General features: G+C 42.8%; 1 pseudogene, besides 3 other annotated features; it reads left to right on the top strand.

Moving 5' to 3' along the window:
- Positions 6169-6463: an enhancer, noted in NCBI's record as "identical tiled regions #4109 and #11482; K562 Activating DNase matched - State 4:PromP". NCBI's record gives its function as "activates a minimal TATA promoter and a strong SV40 promoter by Sharpr-MPRA in K562 cells {active_cell/tissue: K562}" and the evidence as "EXISTENCE:reporter gene assay evidence [ECO:0000049][PMID:27701403]".
- Positions 9080-9727: an enhancer, noted in NCBI's record as "OCT4-NANOG-H3K27ac-H3K4me1 hESC enhancer chr5:157372545-157373192 (GRCh37/hg19 assembly coordinates)". NCBI's record gives its function as "activates a minimal SCP1, AML or CMV promoter by ChIP-STARR-seq in primed H9 embryonic stem cells {active_cell/tissue: H9 hESC(primed)}" and the evidence as "EXISTENCE:reporter gene assay evidence [ECO:0000049][PMID:30033119]".
- Positions 9728-10375: an enhancer, noted in NCBI's record as "OCT4-NANOG-H3K27ac-H3K4me1 hESC enhancer chr5:157371897-157372544 (GRCh37/hg19 assembly coordinates)". NCBI's record gives its function as "activates a minimal SCP1, AML or CMV promoter by ChIP-STARR-seq in primed H9 embryonic stem cells {active_cell/tissue: H9 hESC(primed)}" and the evidence as "EXISTENCE:reporter gene assay evidence [ECO:0000049][PMID:30033119]".
- Positions 17744-17773, top strand: LOC124901193 (uncharacterized; annotated as a pseudogene).
- Positions 17774-22033: the final 4260 nt, after the last annotated feature.

Below are 22033 nucleotides of genomic sequence, written 5' to 3'. Positions count from 1 at the left end.
TAAAATCACCGAAGAGATTGCTGAAATTCTTCTACAGACCAAAAAAACGAGGGATTGAAAGGAGAGAGTCTAAGCTCTTTATTTTTAGCTTTGTGAAAAGAAATCTTTCTTTCTAAAATTAAGCAGAAAAGTTAATGCCACCCTACTAGTGGTAAACAACCTTGAAAGAAATTGATTAGGGTGAATTAATATGGCAGGGATATTCATTATCTTTTGAGAGTGAGAAAATCTTATAGTTATCAAAGTAAGTCTCAGTCTGCAACCCAGGACAATGCAGGAAACTCCTCATGGATGAAATTAATACACAGAAAATTCCTTAGTGGGCAGCCTGTACATTCCAGTGAAGTTGGTGCCTGAGCTTGGGAAAAATCACAGTCAAATGCATTGAGCAGCTCCAGGATGAAACTAAGCCAATAGACAACATGTTTTTTTGGTTTTTGGTTTTGTGTGTGTGTGTGTGGTTTTTTTTTTTTTTTTTTTTTTTTTTTGAGACCAAGTCTCACTCTGTTGCCCAGACTGGAGTGCAGTGGCATGATCTTGGCTCACTGCAACCTCCGCCTCCCGAGTTCAAACAATTCTCCTGTCTCAGCCTCCCGAGTAGCTGGGACTACAGGTGCCCGCCACCATGGCTGGCTAATTTTTGTATTTTTAGTAGAGATGGGGTTTCACCATGTTGGCCAAGCTGGTCTCGAACTCCTGACCTCAGGTGATTCCACCTGTCTCGGTCTCCCAAAGTGCTGGGATTACAGGCGTGAGCCACCACGCCCAGCCAACAATATGGTTTTTATACCTATTGTTTTAGCTGGCAAAATTTGAAGAATTGAAGAGAAGTATTAAATCTCCCACTGACAAGTCTCCTAGACAGCTTGTGTCTGTTCACTTGCTGATTACAGCATTTAAAAATCCCCAAGCCAAGTGGTCCTAGTGGGATGTGCAAGGAAAAATTTCACTTCCTCTGATTGACACCAGGCCAGGGTCAAAGTGTGAATTAACTGAAGCCTTATAGTATGATTGGAAAATTTAAAACCTTGGTCCCCACATCAGCCCTACCACCATCTCCATGGGTAATCAATCCTAAACCTTATATTATTTTCCTCTGCAAAATGAGGGTTTTCACTAGATAATCTCTAGGGTTGCTTTAAGCTCTCACAATTCATATACATACATACATATATATGTATGTATGTATATGTATATATATATGATGCAGTCTCGCTCTGTCTCCCAGGCTGGAGTGCAGTGGCACGATCTCGGCTCACTGCAACCTCCACCTACCAGGTTCAAGTGATTCTCCTACCTCAACCTCCCGAGTAGCTGGGATTACAGGCGCCTACGACCACACGCAGCTGGTGATCCACCCGTCTCGGCCTCCCAAAGTGCTGGGATTACAGGCGTGAGCCACTGTGCCCGGCCCATAATTCGTATTTCTAAATTTCCCTCTGGTCCCTTTTTATTCCCCACTACTTCAAGTCCCTCTCTCACTTGCTTACTACATTCCTGGAGAAAATACTGTCTGGAGGACTTCTATAAATGATAATACCTGTAAACATTTTCTGATTTCAAATACACACACACACACACAAGTCAAGAGCATACATAAGGGTGCTGTTATCTTCAATTAGCAGATGCAGAAACTGAGACTCAAAGAGATTAAACCGCTTGTCCAAGATCGAAGAGCGAGAAGAAGGTTTTGTCTGGATTTGAACCCAGGACCATCTGACTGAAGCTCACATTCTCCGCACTACACCCCACAGTCTCCTGTGGCCCTAGACCTCATCCATGGGCTCCACAGCAAATGACTCTTTTACTCAGCTTGAAACCCCTAGGCAGTGAGCCTTTGTTCCCAACCAAAGCTTAGTTGCCCTATTTCTTTTTTTCTCAAGAGCTTACTGTTTTGCATACGTTTTCATTATAACTGACAAAGGACTTGGTATCTATTCCAATCCATTTATACAAAAAAAGGAAGAAACCAAAGCCCAAAGAAAGTGGTTCGCTCAATCTCATAGACTATTTACCAGTAAGGCCTAAATACAGCCCAGGCTCAAAACCCACTACTTTTTTTTTTTTTTTTTTTTTTTTTTTGAGATGGAGTTTCACTCTTATTGCCCAGGTTGGAGTGCAATGGTGCAATCTTGGCTCACCGCAACCTCCGCTTCCCAGGTTCAAGCAATTCTCCTGCCTCAGACTCCCAAGTAGCTGGGATTACAGGTATGTGCCACCACACCCAGCTAATTTTGTATTTTTCGTAGAGATGGGGTTTCTCCATGTTGGTCAGGCTGGTCTCGAACTCCCGACCTCAGGTGATCTGCCCGTCTCGGCCTCCCAAAGTGCTGGGATTACAGGCATAAGCCACCACACCCAGCCCAAAACCCACCACTTTTTAAGTTGTCACATTAAAGTCACCAGCCACTAAAATGTCACTGAATTATATCGGAATAATGTATTAACTATTGTGGGTACGTTTTTAAATAAACAAATATGTTTTCTTCTACATAAAAGACATACAAGTTTAGTTTGGACAATTTGGAAACAAGCAAAGTAGAACAAAAAAGAAATTCAAGAGAAGTGAACCATTAATCCTATTTCATTTACTTCCAGTCCTGTCTTTCTTTTCCTTGGCATCATTTGTTTTATTTTTTATAAAGCTTTTTGTTCTGATTATAAAAATAATACATGATTCACAATGAGGTGCCACTACATACCCATGAGAAAGCTACATTTTTTTTAAAAAGACTGACACCATCAGGGATTAGTGTGGATGTGGAGCAACTGGAATTTGCTTACCTCATTGGTGACAGTATAAAAGGGTACAACCACTTCGGAAAAGGTTTGGCAGTCTCTCACAAAACTTAACATACCCCTATGCTAGAAATTCCAGAAATGCCACTGCTAGATATTTATCCAAGAGAAATAAAAACATACATCCACAAAAAGACATGTATAAGACTATTGATAATTAACAGCTTTGTTATAAAGCCAAAAACTGGAAATAGCTCAGGTGTCCATCAATAGGAGAAAGGGAATACAAACAGTGGTACATTCTTACCACCTTCGGCAATAGAAAGGACCAAATAATTTGTACACACAACAGCATGGGCAAATCTCAGAAACATTACGTTGAGTAAAAGAAGCCTTACAGAAAAACTACACACTGAAGTTTACATGAAGTTCTATAATAGGAAAAACTAATCTATGCTGAAAACAATTAGGACATAGCTACTCTTGGCACACTGCCTATGGGTTAGCCCCACGCTGAGAGGAGAGGAGAGGAGAAGAGAAGGGAGGGGAGGGGAGGGGAGGGGAGAGGAGAGGAGGGGAGGGGAGGGAAAGGGAAGGGGAAGTGAAGAAAAGGAGCTTGGATTGCACAGGTGAATGCATTTGTCAGAACCCATGAAATGGCCCATAAAATTTGTGTGTTTCATCATAAGTAAATCTTACCTCAAAAGAAAGAAAGTAAACCAATATTGAATTTTAACAACGTGCATGATGAAGTATTTAGGGAAAACTACATGATGTCTACAACCTACTCTGAAATACATCAAAAAATAAGATGGAGAAAGAGAGGAATGGATAGACAGGTAATAAAGCAAGTGTCATAGAATGTTAATTGTATAATCTACGTAGTAGGTATATGGGTATTTGCTGTAAAATTCTTTTTTTTTTTTTTTTTGAGATGGAGTTTCGCTCTTGTTGCCCAAGCTGGGGTGCAATGGCACAATGTTGGCTCACTGCAACCTCCACCTCCCTGGTTCAAGCAATTCTGCCTTAGCCTCCCGAGTAGCTGGGATTACAGGCATGCCTCACCAGGCCCGGCTATTCTTTTGTGTTTTTAGTAGAAACGGGGTTTCTCCATGTTAGCCAGCTGGTCTTGAACGCCTGATTTCAGGTAATCCGCCCACCTTGGCCTCCCAAAGTGCTAGGATTACAGGCGTGAGCCACAGCACCTCGCCTTGCTGTAAAATTCTTTCAAATGTTCTGTATGTTTGAAAATTGTCCTAAAATGTGAGGGGGGGAAAGTGTTTTTTTAAGGTAGAAAATAGGGAAATCTTTAAAAGCTCAAAGAAAATAAGACTCTCCCAAAACCTAACAAAAACTGCCCAATAATAAAAACTTAACATTTTAATGACTTGCTTTCATCCCTTTTTCTATATTTATGAATGTGGAGGGAAGTTTTTTTTTTTTTTATTTGAGACAGAGTCTTACTCTGTAGCCCAGGCTGGAGTGCAGTGATGTGATCTCAGCCCACTGCAAGCTACGCCTCCCGGGTTCACGCCATTCTCCTGCCTCAGCCTCCCAAGTAGCTGGGACTACAGGTTCTTGCCACCATGCCCGGCTAATTTTTTGTATTTTTAGTAGAGAGGGTTTTCACCGTGTTAGCCTGGTTGGTTTCAATCTCCTGACCTCATGATCCTCCCACCTCGGCCTCCCAAAGTGCTGGAATTACAGGCATGAGCCACCGCGCCCGGCCTTGTTTTATTTTTTGAGATGGAGATGGAGTCTCACTCTGGTAACCAGAATGGAGTACAGTGGCAAAATCTCGGCTCACTTCAACCTCTACCTCCCAGGTTCAAGTGATCCTCCTGCTCAGCCTCCCGAGTAGCTGGGCTTACAGGTGCCCACCACCTGCCCAGCTAATCTTTGTATTTTTAATAGAGACCAGGTTTTGCCATGTTGGCCAGGCTGGTCTCAAACTCCTGACCTCAAGTATCTGTCCGCCTTGGCCCCCCCAAAGTGATGGGATTACAGCCACCGTGCCCAGCCAAATTTGAGTGTTTTATAAAATTAGTATCAAACAGATCAATATCACCATTTTATGAAGTGGCATTTTAACCACGGCATTTTCCCAATTCATTAAATATTCTTCAAGTATATTGTGCTATAATTTACTTCAATATATTTTGGCTATTTTAGGATTTTTCTACACTGTAAATAACACTTTGATGACCGTCCATGCACAGATAAATATGCATTTTACCTAAGGACATGAAGCTACCTAATGCCTTTACCAAAAGAAAATACTTTTCACGACAGTATCGCATTGGCCGGGCATGGTGGCTCACACCTGTAATGCCAGCACTTTGGTTTGAGGGTTTAACAAGACAGCACATGGGAAGAGCCTAGCACCGTATCTGGCACATAGCTAACTCTCAATACCTGGTAGCTACCATTGTTTCACCCAGCCAAGGTACTTGTGCACTGTGACAGCTAGTTGAGGATATCTCTGGCAAAGGAACTATTCAGGGAGACACAGCAAGAACCATCGACATAAGAAGAACTATGTCTAATTTGACATAATATCACCACTACTTACACAGTTTCAGTCATGTAAGAGGTGCTCAATAAAAGTAAGCTGAATAAATGAGTGAAGGAATGAATATATAAATGAGAGAGTGGCCACCTGGCTTTAATTCATTTAGGCATGAAGCCAGCCTCAACCTCCCTTGTAAGTTTTTCTTGCCTCTGTCCCTCTAGAAGCAGCTGAACACATCTCTCCTTGGTTAGCAGAAATTGTATGATACATCTCAACTGGGAACCAGGAGTTCAAAGTCCAGCTCTATCTCTAAATAGCTGTGTGTCTTTGGACCAAACATTGATAACACCATCCCCATTAGTTAATTAGACTATTAAAATAGTTTCTGAGGAAGAAAAGGGACAGAGCGTGTCATTATGGCCCTTGTTCAGATGAGGAAACTGAGGCCCAGGGAAGTGAAATAATTTGTTCAAATTCCCTCCTCTAGACCAAACACGGTGGCTCACGCCTGTAATCCCAGCATTTTGGGAGATCGAGGAGAGGGGACTGCTTGAGCTCGCAAGTTCGAGACCAGCCAGGGCAACAAGGCAAGCATCCCCCCCGACTCCTATCTCCCTCACCCCCATCTCTACCCAAAAAAATTAAAAATTAGCAGAGCAGGGTGGCAGGCGCCTGTGTAGTCCCAGCTACTCGGAAAGCTGAGGTGGGAGGATCGCTTGGAGCCCAGGATTTGGAGGCTGCAGTGAGCTGTGATCACACCACTGCTCTCGTGACAGAGCAACACCCTGTATCAAAACAAAACAAACCAAAATAAAACAAAACAAATTCTCTCCTCCAGACCAGGAGGCAGTCAGGTAGATTTCCCCCACATGTCATCCAGCTTTAAGGATCTTATTGCAAGATTTCTTCCAATCACTTCCAGGTTGCAAACGGGTTTCCCCATAGCAGCATTTTTCACACTACTTTCTTCTGGGCTCGCTCTCCTCCCTGCTCGCTTCCCCAAAGCCCGCTCAGCTAGACTGAGCTAGGGATTTTTGACAGCAGAGGGGGCTGCTGAGACACACTGAGTTTTCTCCAAATAAGGAAGAGCATTGTGCCTGCGGGCTGAGAGGCAGTTTGATGATCATTCCATGGTGAGTTCTGCAAAGACTCTTAGGTCGCAGTAGTACAAAATATAATCCAGGAGGAACATGTGCTCGAGTCCTAGCTCTGCCAATAATAACATGTCACCCCAGGAAAGTCCCATCCTTGAAATGTAAAAATGTTTTAGCTCAGGAGTTCTCAAACCTGGCCGCACATCAGAAACCCCTGGGCTACTTACTAAAAATACAAAATCCGGGGCCTCCGTCCCAGATCTATTAAACTAGAATCCCCAGGGTGGGAACCTGGAAATCTGTAATTTTATAATTTAAGATCGCAGAAGTTTCTAATGAACAGATATGTTTGGGAAACACTTAACTAGATAAACTCAAAGGTTCTTTTTCTCTCTTTTTTTTTTTTTTTTTTTTTTGGGACGGAGTCTCACTCTGTCGCCCAGGCTGGAGTGCAGTGGTGCAACCTCCGCTCACTGCAATCTCCCCCTTCCGGGTTCAAGCGATTCTCCTGCCTCAGTCTCCCAAGTAGCTGGGATTACAGACGTGCACCACCACACCTGGCTAATTTTTTTATTTTTAATAGAGACGGGATTTCGCCAGGTTGGCCACGCTGACCTCAAGTGATCCGCCTGCCTCGGCCTCCCAAAGTGCTGGGATTACAGGCATGAGCCACCCGTGCCCGGCAAAAGGTTCTTTTTTTTTTTTTTCATTCTAAGATTGAAAACTCAAACTCTGTAGACCTCTCTCCCATTCCCATAAAATACTACTGCTTTTGTTTCTGGTTTGTTGGTAGTGACTGCCTGGGGAACTGTCTTAAGTAGGATTTGAAGGCAGTGCTGTCCTGTAGAAATACAACTTGAGCCACGAATGCAAGCCACATATAGAATTTTACATTTTCTAGTAATCACTTTTTTGAAAGTGAAATAAATATATAAAATTAATCTTAATAACATTTGGTTTAACCCAGTATATCCAAACTATTATCATTTCAAGTTGTAATCAATACAAAAAATTATTAATGAGATATTTTACATTCTTTTCTTGTGTGCCAGGTCTTCATAATCTGGTATGTATTTTACCTGTGTAGCATACCTGAATTTGGACTAACCACATTTCAAATGCTCAGTAGCTACATGTGACCTGTGGTTACCATATTAGCACTGTTAAGCAATATTGATAGGACAGGGCAATCATCAATTAGCAGTGGCCATGATAAGCAGAGAATTGGAGTGAAGGTACTTGTGCCATATAGTTGTCATCAGCAATGCCAAATAACCTAATTTCTAGTTCTCTACAGATCAGGCAAAAAGAAAAAACTCAGAGGTAACTCAGCCTCGGACTCGTTATACATTGGGGGTGGGGCAGGGGGAACACAGGAAATTCACACAAGGAGTATTAGGAACACCGCAACTGAATATGACATACTTAAAATAAGTAAAACCAAGATTTAGCCAGAACTAGCAGTAGTAGGCTCAAGCATGGCACTTGAGAATATATATTGTATTCATTCTACGAAAATAATCTTCCTGGCCAGCCGTGGTGACTCATGCCTATAATCCCGGAACTTTGGGAAGCCGAGGTGGGAGGATCACTCGAGACCAGGAGTCTGAGAACGGCCTGGGTGACATGGAGAAACCCTCTCTCTACAAAAAATACAAAAATTAGCCAGGCATGGTGGTACATGCTCTAGTCCCAACTACTAAGAAGGCTGAGGTAGGAGGATTGCCCTCAGGTTGATCCAAAGCCCAGCAGTCTGAGGCTGCAGTGAGCCGTGATCATCATGCCACTGCACTCCAGCCTGGGAGACAGAGTGAGATCCTATCTCAGACAAAAAAAGGAAGGAGGTTGGTGTGTGGTGGCTCACGCCTGTAATCCCAGAAATTTGGGAGGCCGAGGCAGGGGGATCACCTGAGGTCACGAGTTCAAGACCAGCCTGGCCAACATAGTGAAACCCCGTCTCTACTAAAAATACAAAAATTAGACGGGCATAGTCGCGCATGCCTGTAATCCCAGCTACTCAGGAGGCTGAGGCAGGAGAATCGCTTGAACCCAGGAGACAGAGGTTGCACTGAGTCGAGATGGTGCCACTAAACTCCAGCCTGGGTGAAAGAGTAACACTCCGTCTCAAAAAAAAAAGGAGAAAAAAAAAAGAAAATAGATGGGCACAGTGGCTCACACCTGTGATCTCAACACTTTCAAAGGCTGAAGCGGACAAATCACTTAAGGTCAAGAATTCAAGATCAGCCTGGCCAACATGGCAAAACACAGTCTCTAAAAAGAAAATAGGCCAGACACGGTGGCTCACGCCTGTAATCCCAGTACTTTGGGAGGCCAAGGAGGGTGGATCACCTGTCAGGAGTTCGAGACCAGCCTGGCCAACATGATGAAACCTGTCTCTACTAAAAATACAAAAATTACCTGGGTGTGATGGCGGGTACCTGTAATCCCAGCTACTAGGAAGGCTGAGGCAGGAGAATCGCTTCAACCTGGGAGGCGGAGGTTGTAGTGAGCCAAGATCGCGTCATTGCACTCCAGTCTGGGCGACAAGAGCGAGACTCCATCTCAAAAAATAATTAAGGCTGGACGCAGCGGCTCACACCTGTAATCCCAGCACTTTGAGAGGCTGAGGCGGGTGGATCACGAGGTCAGGAGTTCAAGACCCACCTGGCCAACATAGTGAAACCCCGTCTCTACTAAAAATACAAAAATTAGGTGGGTGTGGTGGCCTGCACCTGTAGTCTCAGCTACTCGGGAGGCTGAGGCAGGAGAATCACTTGAACCCGGGAGGTAGAGGTTGCAGTGAGCCAAGACCATGCCACTGCACTCCAGACTGGGTGACAGAGCAAGACTCTGTCTAAAAAATAAATAAATAAAATAAAAAAATAAAAATGAATTAATTAAAATTAAATTAATTAAATAAAAAATATATAAATTAGGTGTGCTAGCACACACCTGTGGTCCCAGCTATGCGGGGAAGCTGAGATGGGAGGATAGCTTGAGCCTGGGAAGTTGGGGCTTCAGTGAGCTGTGTTCACGCCACTGCACTCCAGCCTGGGTGACAGACGGAGACCCTGTCTCAGAAAAAAATAAATATATAAAAAAGAAGGAAGGCAGGAAGGGAGGGAAGGAGGGGAAGAAAGAGACAGAGAGAGAGAGAAGGAAGGAAGGAAGGAAGGAAGGAAGGAAGGAAGGAAGGAAGGAAGGAAGGAAGGTTTCATGCACGTCCGTGTGAAGAGACCACCAAACAGGCTTTGTGTGAGCAACATGGCTGTTTATTTCACCTGGGTGCAGGCGGGCTGAGTCCGAAAAGAGAGTCAGCGAAGGGAGATAAGGGTGGGGCCGTTTTATAGGATTTGGGTAGGTAAAGGAAAATTACAGTCAAAAGGGGTTTGTTCTCTGGCGGGCAGGAGTGGGGGTCGCAAGGTGCTCAGTGGGGGTGCTTTTTGAGCCAGGACGAGCCAGGGAAAGGACTTTCACAAGGTAATGTCATCACTTAAGGTAAGGACCGGCCATTTACACTTCTTTTGTGGTGGAATGTCATCAGTTAAGGTGGGGCAGGGCATATTCACTTATTTTGTGATTCTTCAGTTACTTCAGGCCATCTGGGCGTATACGTGCAAGTCACAGGGGATGCGATGGCTTGGCTTGGGCTCAGAGGCCTGACAGAAGGAAGGAAGGAGAGAAAGAGACAGAGAAAGAGAGAGAAAGAAAGAGAAAGAAAGACAGAAAGAAAAGACAGACAGAAAGACAGAAGGCAGAAAGAAGAGAAAGAGAAAGAAAGAAGGAAAGAAGGAAAGAGAAAGAAAAGAAAAGAAAAGAAAGAAAGGCGAAAAGAAAAGAAAGAAAGAAAAGAAAAGAAAGGAAGAAAGAAAGAAAGAATCTTTCTGACTCAGGGTTAATATAATGAGCCTATTGAAAGGCTACCGATTGATTTATAAGGCGTCATTCAAGGTGCAGTTGAATCTCTGCTATGAAAGATAGCAAATACACTGATACACTGCAGAAGTGGGGAAAGAGGGTACTTATGGCCACTGAAATATAATGTAATCAGTAATAATAATAGATCATATTTGAAATTTATGACTTTAAAAAGCACTTTATTATCCATTCTCATTTGTTCCTCATAATAATCCTATGAGGCAAGCAGATGGGATGCATGTCTCTATTTTAGACTGGAGAACTGAAGTTCAGAGAGATTATGTGTTAGCTTAAGTTTCAGTGCCAGTGAGTGAATAGCATAGTTTCTCCACAGGAAATTCGCTGGTCCATATGGGAATTCAACCTTGGCCTCAGTATCAGCAAGCTTTCGCCAGCTACTTACCTGATGCAGCTATAAATATCATTAATTCACTTTTCAAAGGCCTTTCCTCTTCTAATAGATAAAGTTCCAGTTAGCCTCCTACCGACCCCCTCCACTGTGTCTGCCTTCTCTAATCATGTATCTCCCTGGAAGGTGTAAATGCCTTTGCCTCCGGCAAGGATTGCCTTTTCTACAGCACCTCGCAGAGCTGTAAGCCAGCTTTTAAAGCGGGAGCCACACTTTTCTGCTGGCTGAGTGGAGATAACAACTTACAAAGTTACTCAGGAAGGCATGGAAGTGTTTTGAGCAGAAAAATGTGATGTGACATGATGACACAGTGTGTAAGGCAGTGAGCAATTGAAGAGAAAAGAGGGAGAACTTACAATAGTTACAACAATAACAGTCAATATCAACTCTTCTTGTCCAACCTACCTAAAGTGGCCAAGTCATCACCATCAGATTACTACCCTCTCATTTCTGCATAGCATTTGTCACTATCACACATTTTTTGTTTGTTATTACCGCTTCCCACCTGATATTGAATATAAGGTTCACAAAAGCTCAAACTCTGTCTGAGGCACTGTTCTATCTGCAGATATTACAACCATACCTGGGCCCAGAGTAAACACTCAATAAATATTAATTGAATGAATAAATGTGAGCATTTTACTCTGTGCCAGGGGATGGGCCAAGTATTTAACACAATTTAGTTATATCACTGAATCTTTATGCTAATCCAAGGAATTAAGTTTTATTGTCTGCATTTCACAAGTTCTTACGGCCTAAGTGTGTAGTGACGCCTTTGTAATCTGCATGTTATAAAGTCACTAATGATTTCCTAGTCCTCGGATCCAAAATCTCCTTCTCAATGAAATTTTCCCTCATCATTCCAGCCTTGTTTCCACACTGGAGACTGTTGACCTTAAGGTTCCTCCTAGAAAATCTTTCTTGGATTCCACACATTTGGTCATTCAACAAAAGTTGTTTGAGCACCAACTATGTGCCTGTCACTATCCTATGTGCTGAAGGTGCAAACCTTTGATGGCCAAGCAGGAACTGGCAGGGTCCCAGTGCAGTGATGCTGGTTTTCTCCCCACCATTTCTTTTCAACCTCCTCCACAGGCTCGTCCTGATTTTCCCTCAGTCCCCAAAATGTGAGCATCCCTGAGGTCTAGCTGTAAGTCTCTCTCTGTGTACATTTCTACTTGACAATCTCAGCTACTATTCCCTGTTAAGCATGCACCTATATATAGATGCCTTATTAATCTGTATCTTTAATGTTGATCTTTCTTCTAAGTTCCAAATCTGCATCTCTTTTCTACCAGGACATACCCCTGTCACCTTATCTCAACCCAACAACTCTAAAGTGGAATCCGTCAAGCACCCTATCCTCCCAAACTATCCAGAATTTGTGGCATCTATTCTCTCAGAGCAATTACAAAGGAGAAACCAAAGATACATCACAATTTTCAGCTCAATGAATCCTATAAACAATAATAGAAGCAGCTGTTCCCTACCAGGGCTTCTATCTCTGTCTTTCACCCTTCTAAATATCATAGCAATCAAAAAAAATAAAAAAAAAAACCAGAAAAAATTAGTTCTGTATGGCTCAGCACAAAGAAAAGTATCCTTAATGCATTGGATCAGGCCAGTGGTCAGAAACAGCTGAAATAGCAAACTAGTGGTGGGAGAACTGACCTCAAAGGGTGACAAGCAGATTGGGCAAAAAGTAGAGTAGATTAAATTAGGAGACTTCTTCTCAACTCCTAACTCTACCTGGTGAGGCAGACTTAACTGTGACCTTGGACAAGGTACTGCCACTTTGAACTTTGGTTACATCATATGTACAATGATGTAACCAAGGGAGACTTTACAAAGCGAGAAGGATAATTTCAGTCCCATCTATTATAGTGAATAAGTAATATAATATTGAATAATTGATATGGATGATATAAAGTTATTTGGACTGGAAAATGAGAGACAAAAGTAAGGAATTCACATCAACATTAATTTGGTGGTAACCACTCTTGTAATTATAAATACTGGCTTTCAGAGAACTTCAGAATGTGTCCCCTTTGAATTGAGGGTAAATTTACTATAGGTTATGTTGATGTGGGTTTAGCATCAGGGCTGACAGTACAATGGATACACTCTCAGCTGCACCTACAAGACAGCAAAAGGCCTAAGGCCTTAGGCTTCACCATAGGAGGTGGGATCAGGGTTTCTACCTGAATTTAAAACCTTCACAACTTAGTTATTATACCCTATTTAAAGCCCCTATTGCACTGATTTGGATTTAATCCCCAATCTGAGATGAGTTAGAATCAATATGGGAGACTTCTTAACCAAAACACTTTCTTCTTGTACAAATCCAAAAGTTGTTGGCTGGGCGCAGTGGCCCACTCCTGTAATCCCAGCACTTTGGGAGGCCAAGGCGGGCGGATCACTTGTAGTCAGTCAGGGGTTTGAGACCAGCCTGGCCAACATGGCGAAATCCCGTGTCTACTAAAAATACAAAAATTACCCAAGCCTAGTGGCGTGCTGCTGTAGTCCCAGCTACTAGGGAGGCTGAGGCAGGATAATCGCTTGAACCCAAGAGGCGGGGCTTGCAGTGAGCCAAGATCACATCACTGTACTCCAGGGTGATGGAGTAAAACTCTGTCTCTGAAAAAAAAATTTTTAAAAAGTTGTCCATAGACTTGGAGTAGCAAAAACAAATGGAAAATCCTTGGCCCAGTAGACTCAGGTAAACGGAATGCAAAGGTTGACAGTTCAGCATAAAAGTATTTTGCAAGTTATCTCAACCCCGTAATCACAGATAGAGGAATTCTCTCTACTTCAAGAAAGGCAGACTGAGTTCACCCAGGGCCACCACTCATCGAAAAACAGTGCCTGAGAAAAGAAACAAAAACAGTACCTGTATACACATTCTTTGAGAAACAGTGCTGTGATCCATTAATGGTTTCTGCCATGGTAAGGAGGGAGATGCAAGGGAATAATGGGATTATCTCACATATTTGCCCTCTTACGGGGTCAGTCAATTTTAGATGTGTTCCACTAATCACGGTCAATAGAGATCAACGTTTTCTTTTTGTATTATGCAAAACTGTGCATATAATTTTGACCAAACAAATTTTACTTGAATCAAGCTAAGAAGCACCTGTTTTCAATACTGTGATGCTGAGGTCAAAGCTATGGGTTTAATCCCTCTGGGCCGTTAACTTTGCTCTGTTGAGCAATTCCTGATTTCATTTCATCCCTCATCAAAGTCATACATTTACATTTCTTTTTTTTTCTTTGAGATGGAGTCTCACACTGTCGCCCAGGCTGGAGTGCAGTGGTGCAATCTTGGCCCACAAAAATTAGCTGGGCGTGGTGGCGTGCGCCTGTAACCCCAACTACTTGGGAGGCTGAGGCAGGAGAATCACTTGAACCTGGGAGGCGGAGGTTGCAGTGAGCCGAGATCATGCCATTGCACTTCAGCCTGGGCAACAAGACCGAAACTCCATCTCAAAATATAAAAATCCAAGTGGGGTGGACCTTCATTCTGAAGGTGCCTGTGTATATGCATTAAATAAATTGGTATGCCTTGTCTCTAAGGCATTTAAAAAATCCAAGTAGGTTTTTTTTTCTTTTTTTTTTTTTTTTTGAGATAGAGTCTTGCTTTGTCACCCAGGCTGGAGTGCAGTGGCATGATCTCGGCTCACTGCAACCTCCGCCTCCTGGGTTCAAGCGATTGGCCTGTCTCAGTCTCCTGAGTAGCTGGGGTTACAGGTGCCTGCCACCACGCCTGGCTAATTTTTATATTTTTAGTAGGGACAGGGTTTCGCCATGTTGACCAAGCTGGTCTCGAACTCCTGACCTCAGGTGATCCACCTGCCTCCACCTCCCAAAGTGCTGGGATTAAAAACACGAGCCACCGTGCCTGGCCCCAAGTGGGTTTCTTTATATAAAATGACAAGTTTATTTTAAAATATATAGAGAAATATGAAGGATATGCAAAATAATTTTGAAAAAGAAGAACAAATTATGGAAACTTATACTACTTGACTTCAGGAGTTATCATAAAACTATCTTAAACAAGAAAATGTGATATTGGTGAAAAGACATGCTATTGGATCAGCAGAACAAAATAAAGAATCCAAAAAGCAGATTCACACATACTTGCTAAGTTCATTTATAGTAAGATGTTAAAGCAATTCAATGGGGAAAAAAATAATCTTTTCAACATTTCATAAACAGAATAAACCTCACCCTTATTTTTATACCATATACAAAAAAAAAACCCTCAAAATTAAACATAAAGAACCAAAACTATAAAACTTTTAGAATAAAACAGGCCAGGTGCAGTGGCTCACGCCTGTAATTCCAGCACTTTTGGAGGCCGAGGCATGCGGATCATCTGAGGTCAGGAGTTCGAGACCAGCCTGGCCAATGAGGTGAAACCCGGTCTCTATTAAAAATACAAAAATTAGCTGGGAGTGGTGACATGCACCTGTAATGCCAGCTACTCAGGAGGCTCAGGCAGAAGAATTGCTTGAACCCAGAAGCAGAGGTTGCAGTGAGACAAGATTATACCACTGCACTCCAGCCTGGGCAATAGAGCGCAACTCCATCTCAAATAAACCCCAAAAAACGGCAGGGCACAGTGGCTTATGCCTGTAATCCCAGCACTTTAGGAGGCCAAGGCAGGCAGATCATGAAGTCAGGAGTTCAAGACCAGCCTGGCCAACATAGTGAAACCCCCATCTCTACTAAAAATACAAAAATTAGCCAGACATGGTGGCGTGCGCCTGTAGTCCCAGCTACTCGGGAGGCTGAGGCAGGAGAATCATGTGAACCCGGGAGGCAGAGGTTGCAGTGAGCCGAGATCGTGCCACTGCACACCAGCCCAGGCAACAGTGCGAGACTCCATCTCAAAGAAAATGCAACAACAACAAAAAAAATAGGAGACTGTATGATTTTCAATTTTAGGTATCAGATGAACTGGATTAAGGAATATTTAGAGAGCTGCTAAAGCATTATTTCTGGATGTGTCTATGAAGGTGTTCCCAGGGAACACTGGCACAGGAGTCTGCCAACTGAGTGGGAAATATTTGACCTCAGGGTGGTTGGGCACCATCCAATCATCTGGGGCTCTGATAGAACAGAAAGGCAGGCCAGGCACGGTGGCTAACGCCTGTAATCCCAGCACTTTGGGAGGCCAAGGCAGGCAGGTCACCTGAGGTCGGGAGTTTGAGACCAGCCTGACCAACATGGAGAAACCCTGTCTCTACTAAAAATACAAAATTAGCCAGGCGTGGTGGCGCCTGCCTGTAATCCCAGCTACTTGGGAGGCTGAGGCAGGAGATTTGCTTGAATCCGGGAGGCAGAGGTTGCGGTGAGCCGAGATCACGCCATTGCACTCCAGCCTGGGCAACAAGAGCGAAACTCCCTCTCAAAAAAAAAAAAAAAAAAAAGAAAGAGAAAAGGCAGAAGAAAGGGGAATTCACTTATCTCTGTCCTATAGTTGGGGCACTCTTCCTGTCCTGACCTTGGACATCAGAACTCCAGGCTCTCTGGCCTTTGGACTATGGAACCTATATCAGCAGACCTTTTACCCCCACACGGATTCTCAGGCCTTCGGTCTCAGACTGAGAGTGACACCAACAACTTATTTCAACCCCGGTTGAGACTTTCAGACTTGACTTGAGCTACACTACTAGTTTCCCAGGGTCTCTAGCTTACAGATGGCCAATCAAGGGACTTCTTGGGCTCCATAATTATGGATCCAATTCCCTTAATAAATCTCTTCTCATATATCTACATCTATATCTACATCTATCTATCTATCTATCTATCTATCTATCTATCTATCTATGTACATATCCTATTGGTTCTGTCTCCCTGGAAAACTCTGACAAATACACTTTGGGAGAGGTAAACTTTTTTTTTTTTTTTTTAAAGACAGGATTCTGCACTCTCACCCAGACTGGAGTACAGTAGTGTGATCACAGCTCACAGCAGCCTTGACCTTCTGGGCTCAAGCAATTCTCTCACCTCAGCTTCATGAGTAGCTGGGCCCACAGGCACACGCCACAATGCCTAGCTAATTTTTGTATTTTTTTTGTGTAGAGATGGGGTCTCCCTATGTTGCCCAGATTGGTCTCAAACTCCCTAGCTCAAGCAATCTGCCCACGTCAGCTTCCCAAAATGCTGGAATTACAGGCATGAGCAACTGCACCTGGCCAACTTTTTTTTTTGAGACAGAGTCTCGCTCTGTCACCCAGGCTGGAGTGCAATAGCACGATGGCAGCTCACTGCAACCTCTGCCTCCCAGGTTCAAGTGATTCTCCTGTCTCAACCTCCCAAGTAGCTGGAATTACAGGCACACGTGGCCACCTCCGGCTAATTTTTTTTGTATTTTAGTAGAGATGGGGTTTCACCATATTGCCCAAGCTAGTCTCAAACTTCTGAGCTCAAGCAATCCACCCACCTTGGCCTCCCAAAGGGCTAGGATTACAGGAGTGAGCCACCGTGCCCGGCCCCAACATTTTAAAAATAAGATCCAGAAAGCCTTATTTAAAGGGAGAATGAGCCTAAAAATAATATTAATAAATAAATGAATAAGACCCATAAATTCGGCTGGGGCGGTGGCTCACGCCTGTAATCCCAGCACTTTGGGAGGCCGAGGCAGGCGGATCACAAGGTCAGGAGATGGAGATGATCCTGGCTAACATAGTGAAACCCCGTCTCTACTAAAAATACAAAAATTAGCCGGGCATGGTGGCGGGTGCCTGCAGTCCCAGCTACTAGTGAGGCTAAGGCAGGAGAATGGCGAGAATCCGGGAGGAAGAGCTTGCAGTGAGTGGAGATCACACCACTGCACTCCAGCCTGGGCAACAGAGTGAGACTCCACCTCAAAAAAAAAAAAGACCCATAAATTCAATAAATTGGATTTCAACAAAATTTAAAACATATTGCTCTACAAAAAACACTGTTAAGAAAATGAAAAGGCAAGACCCAGTCTGGGAGACGATGTCAGCAAATAGGTATCTGACAAAGCATTTTAATTAGAATATATAAAGGACACTTATAACTCAATAATAAGAAAACAAACAGTGTTACAGCTCTTTTAGAATTTGTCTAAAAATATAAAAATTTTAAAAAGAAAACAATTATAAAGCAAGCAAAATATTTGAACAGATATTTTACCAAAACAGATATACAGATAACAAGCACACAAAAAGATGCTCTTTTTTTTTTTTTTTGAGACAGACTCACACTCTGTCACCCTGCCTGGAATGCAGTAGGATGATCTTATCTCACTGCAGCCTCTCAGGTTCAGGCAATTCTCAAGCCTCCGCCTCCCAAATAGCTGGGACTACCAGCACACGCCACCACACCTGGCTAATTTTTTGTATTTTTTTAGTAGAGATGGGGTTTCACCATGTTGGCCAAGGTGGTCTAGAACTCCTGACCTCAAGTGATCCACCCACCTCAGCTTCCCAAAATGCTGGGATTACAGGCATGAGTCACCTTGCCTGGCCTCATCATTATTAATAATTAAAGAACATGGAATCAACCCAAATGCCCATCAGTGATAGACTGGACAAAGAAAATGTGGTATATATACACCATGGAATACTATGCAGCCATAAAAAAGAACGAGCTCATGTCCTTTGCAGGGACATGGATGGAGCTGGAAGCCATTATCCTCAGCAAATTAACACAGGAACAGAAAGCCTAACACTGTATGTTCTCACTTATAAGTGGGAGCTGAACAATGAAAACACATGGACACAGGCAGAGAAACAACACACACTGGGGCCTTTTGAGGCAAGGGGGAGGGACAGCATCAGGAAAAATAGCTAATGCATGTGGGGCTTAACATCTAGGTGATGGGTCGATAGGTGCAGCAAACCACCATGGCACACATTTACCTATGTTAACAAACCTGTACGTCCTGCACATGTATCCCAGAACTGAAAATAAAACAAAATTTAAAAATAATAATAATAATTAAGGAAGCACAAATTTAACCACAATGAGATACCATTAAACGATCCTTAGAATGGCTACAATTAAAAAGACTGACAATACCAGAGTCATTGCACTCCCAGACGGGAGTGCAATGGCACGATCTCGGCTCACTGCAGTTTAAATAAATGAAACATTTAAAAAGTTATATTTAGGCCGGGCGTGGTGGCTTACACCTGTAATCCCAGCACTTTGGGAGGACAAAGCAGGTGGATCACTTGAGGTCAGGAGTTCAAGACCAACCTGGGTAACATGGTGAAACCCCATCTCTACTAAAAACACAAAAATTAGCCGGGTGTGGTGGCACACACCTATAATCCCAGCTACTCAGGAAGCTGAGGCAGGAGAATCGCTTAAACCTAGGAGGTGAAGGCTGCACTGAGCCGAGATTGTACCACTGCACTCCAGCCTGCGTGACAGAGCAGGACATCATCTCAAAACAACAACAAAAAAATTATTTGATTTATAAAAGTACAGCTATTACATGTTTCTGTTTGCCCTAATAGTGTTTTCTGAAATTGTGATATATATTATTTCTTAAAATATTTTTATTTTTTCTCAAATATACTTTTATATTTGCTCTTTATAACAAAAAGTTAAACATTAAAATGTTTAAAAGGGCCATGGTCAGGTACAGTGGCTCACACCTGTAGTCCCAACACTTTGGGAGGTTGAAGCAAGAGGATCACTTGAGCCCAGGAATTTGAGACCAACCCGGGCAACAAAGTGAGACCCTGTTTCTACAAAGAACAGAAAAATTAGCCAGATGTGGAGGTGCACACCTGTGGTCCCAGCTACAGGGGAGGCTGAGGCAGGAGGATCCCTTGAGCCCAGGAGGTCAAGGCTGTAGTCAGCCTTATTCATGCCACTGCATTCCATCCTGGGCAACAGAGCGAGACCCTCTCTTAAAAAATAATAATAATAAAAATAGCCAGGCACGGTGGCTCATGCTTGTAATCCCAGCACTTTGGGAGGCCAAAGTGGGTGGATAACGAGGTCAGGAGTTTGAGACGAGCCTGACCAACATGGAGAAACCCCGTCTCTACTAAAAATACAAAAATTAGCCAGGCGTGGTGGCGCGCACCTGTAATCCTAGCTACACAGGAGGCTGAGGCAGGAGAATCGCTTGAACCCAGGAGGCAGAGGTTGCAGTGAGCTGAGACCATGCCACTGCACTCCAGCCTAGGTGACAGAGCAAGACTCCATCTCAAAAAAAATAATAATAATTAATAAATAAAATAAAATTATTGCAATAAATATCTGACAGAGATTGTTGTTTGTGTGTGTGTGTGTATATATATCTTTACACACTTTCACTAATATTTTTAAGATAAAAATTTAAACATAAGGTGCTAGTGAAACTGCCCTTGCAAAAATTATAACTGAGAAAATTATCACGGTGAAAGGGACCTGACCTAACTGAATCTATCTTGCTTCTAACCTCCAAGCTATCTTTGCTCATTCCTGGGCATAGGGTGAACTAACTTTGAGAGGAAATTACTTTATAGTTTAACTCTAAAACAAGACAATAAAACTCTTTCCCAAAACAAACCGCTTCTTGCCTGAGGAATAGACACCCTTCACATAACTAACAATTAGCTACAAGATTAGAAATTATGGCTTAGGAGTCATTCAGCTGAAGGTTGCAAGATTCTGAACCTCCCCAAATCGCTCCCAGGGATAATATCACTTTTGTAAAGCTTAATATCAGTGCTTGAGATATTTTGCCTATTCTGCACTCAGTGGATCAGCTGGCACCACCCACATAGATAAACTGCCTCATCCAGTCTTGTGGCCCCTACCTAGGAACTGACTCAGCAAAAGAGGTCAGCTTTGACTCCCTATGATTTCATCTCCAACCCGGCCAATCAGCACTCCCCAATTTCTGACCCCTTACCCACCAAATTCTCCTTAAAAACCCCAATCCTGGAGTTTTCGGGAAGATTGATTTGAGTAATAACTCCATCTCCCATATGGTGTGGCCAGCCTCCCATCAATAAAATTCTTTCTTTACTGCAATGCCATGGTCTTTATTTGTGCAGCAGGCAGGAAGAACCCATCAGATGGTTACACTGGGTCAAAGGATATGCACTTAAAGTGTTTATAGATGATTCCAAGTTTTCCCCAAAAATGGCTGCACTAATTTATGCCCTTTTCTGCCTTACTTCTATGTCGACATTGAAAAATATTTGCCAGTATATGAAGGAGGGGGAGGAGGAGGAGAAGAAAAAGAAATTTGATACAATATGATACAGAGAAATACTATCTTGCTTCATTTTACATTTCTTTATTAAAAAGATTTAATCTTTCATATTTTTCCTATCTAATGGGGCTTACATTTTTTCTTTTTTGAGTTGCCTATTCATATTCTTTGCTCTCTTTCTACAGAGCTGTTTCTATGTTTCGTTTCTTTTCTTTTCTTTTCTTTTTTCTGAGATGGAGTCTTGCTCTTGTTGTCCAGGCTGGAGTGCGGTGGCACCATCTCAGCTCACCGCAACCTCCACTTCTCGGGTTCAAGCGATTCTCCTGCCTCAGCCTCCTGAGTAGCTGGGATTACAGGCACGTGCCACCATGCCTGGCTAATTTTGTATTTTTAGTAGAGATGGGATTTCTCCATGTTGGTCAGGGTGGTCTTGAACTCCCGACCTCAGGTGATTCACCCGCCTCAGCCTCCCAAAGTGCTGGGATTACAGGTGTGAGCCACCGTGCCTGGCCAGTGTTTGTATGTTTCTTGTTGATTTTAGGAGTACTTTATCTTTTAAGTACTTTTTAGGTAAATATTTGCAAATATTTTCATCCAGCCTACGGTTTTTCTTTTAACTTTTCATTTTAATGTGGTTTACAGTGTTCAGCTTTTTGTTTCCTTGTGCTTTATTTTTGGTCATATCATTTTATAATCAAAATGTTTAATGTGTGCTATTGGTCACAAGAAGGACTTAGTGATAGTGTGAATCTATCAGTGTAAGAATTCCCCACATGTAGAAAAACTGCAAATGTGTAGATCCTAATGAGGCTGGCCAGAAGCAAAGCCATTCTCATGAAGCAAAGAATTATAGCTATTTTCCTGCTCTAAATAACCTAGGTATCATTTAGTGAAGTCTACAGAATTCTAATTTTAAGTAGAGAAACTCTCCGGGAATGTTTAACCGATATTCACATCATGTTTACAGAATTCTGAATGGAATTTCTTAGCACGTATTCAACCAAGGGAATCGAAAAATAAGGCACTCATGCTATCACCACCATCACTACCCCATTTCTTTACTCATTGTAGAAACTGCTAATTGATCACTCTTTCTTCCAGAGCCCAGATGTGGCCTAAAAGGTTTTCTCTATGAATCAGTAGAGTAAGCTGTTACCAACAGTTTG

This window comes from Homo sapiens, chromosome 5, assembly GCF_000001405.40.
Source record: "Homo sapiens chromosome 5, GRCh38.p14 Primary Assembly".
NCBI lineage: Eukaryota > Metazoa > Chordata > Mammalia > Primates > Hominidae > Homo > Homo sapiens.
This window is presented reverse-complemented; position numbering and strand designations above follow the sequence as displayed.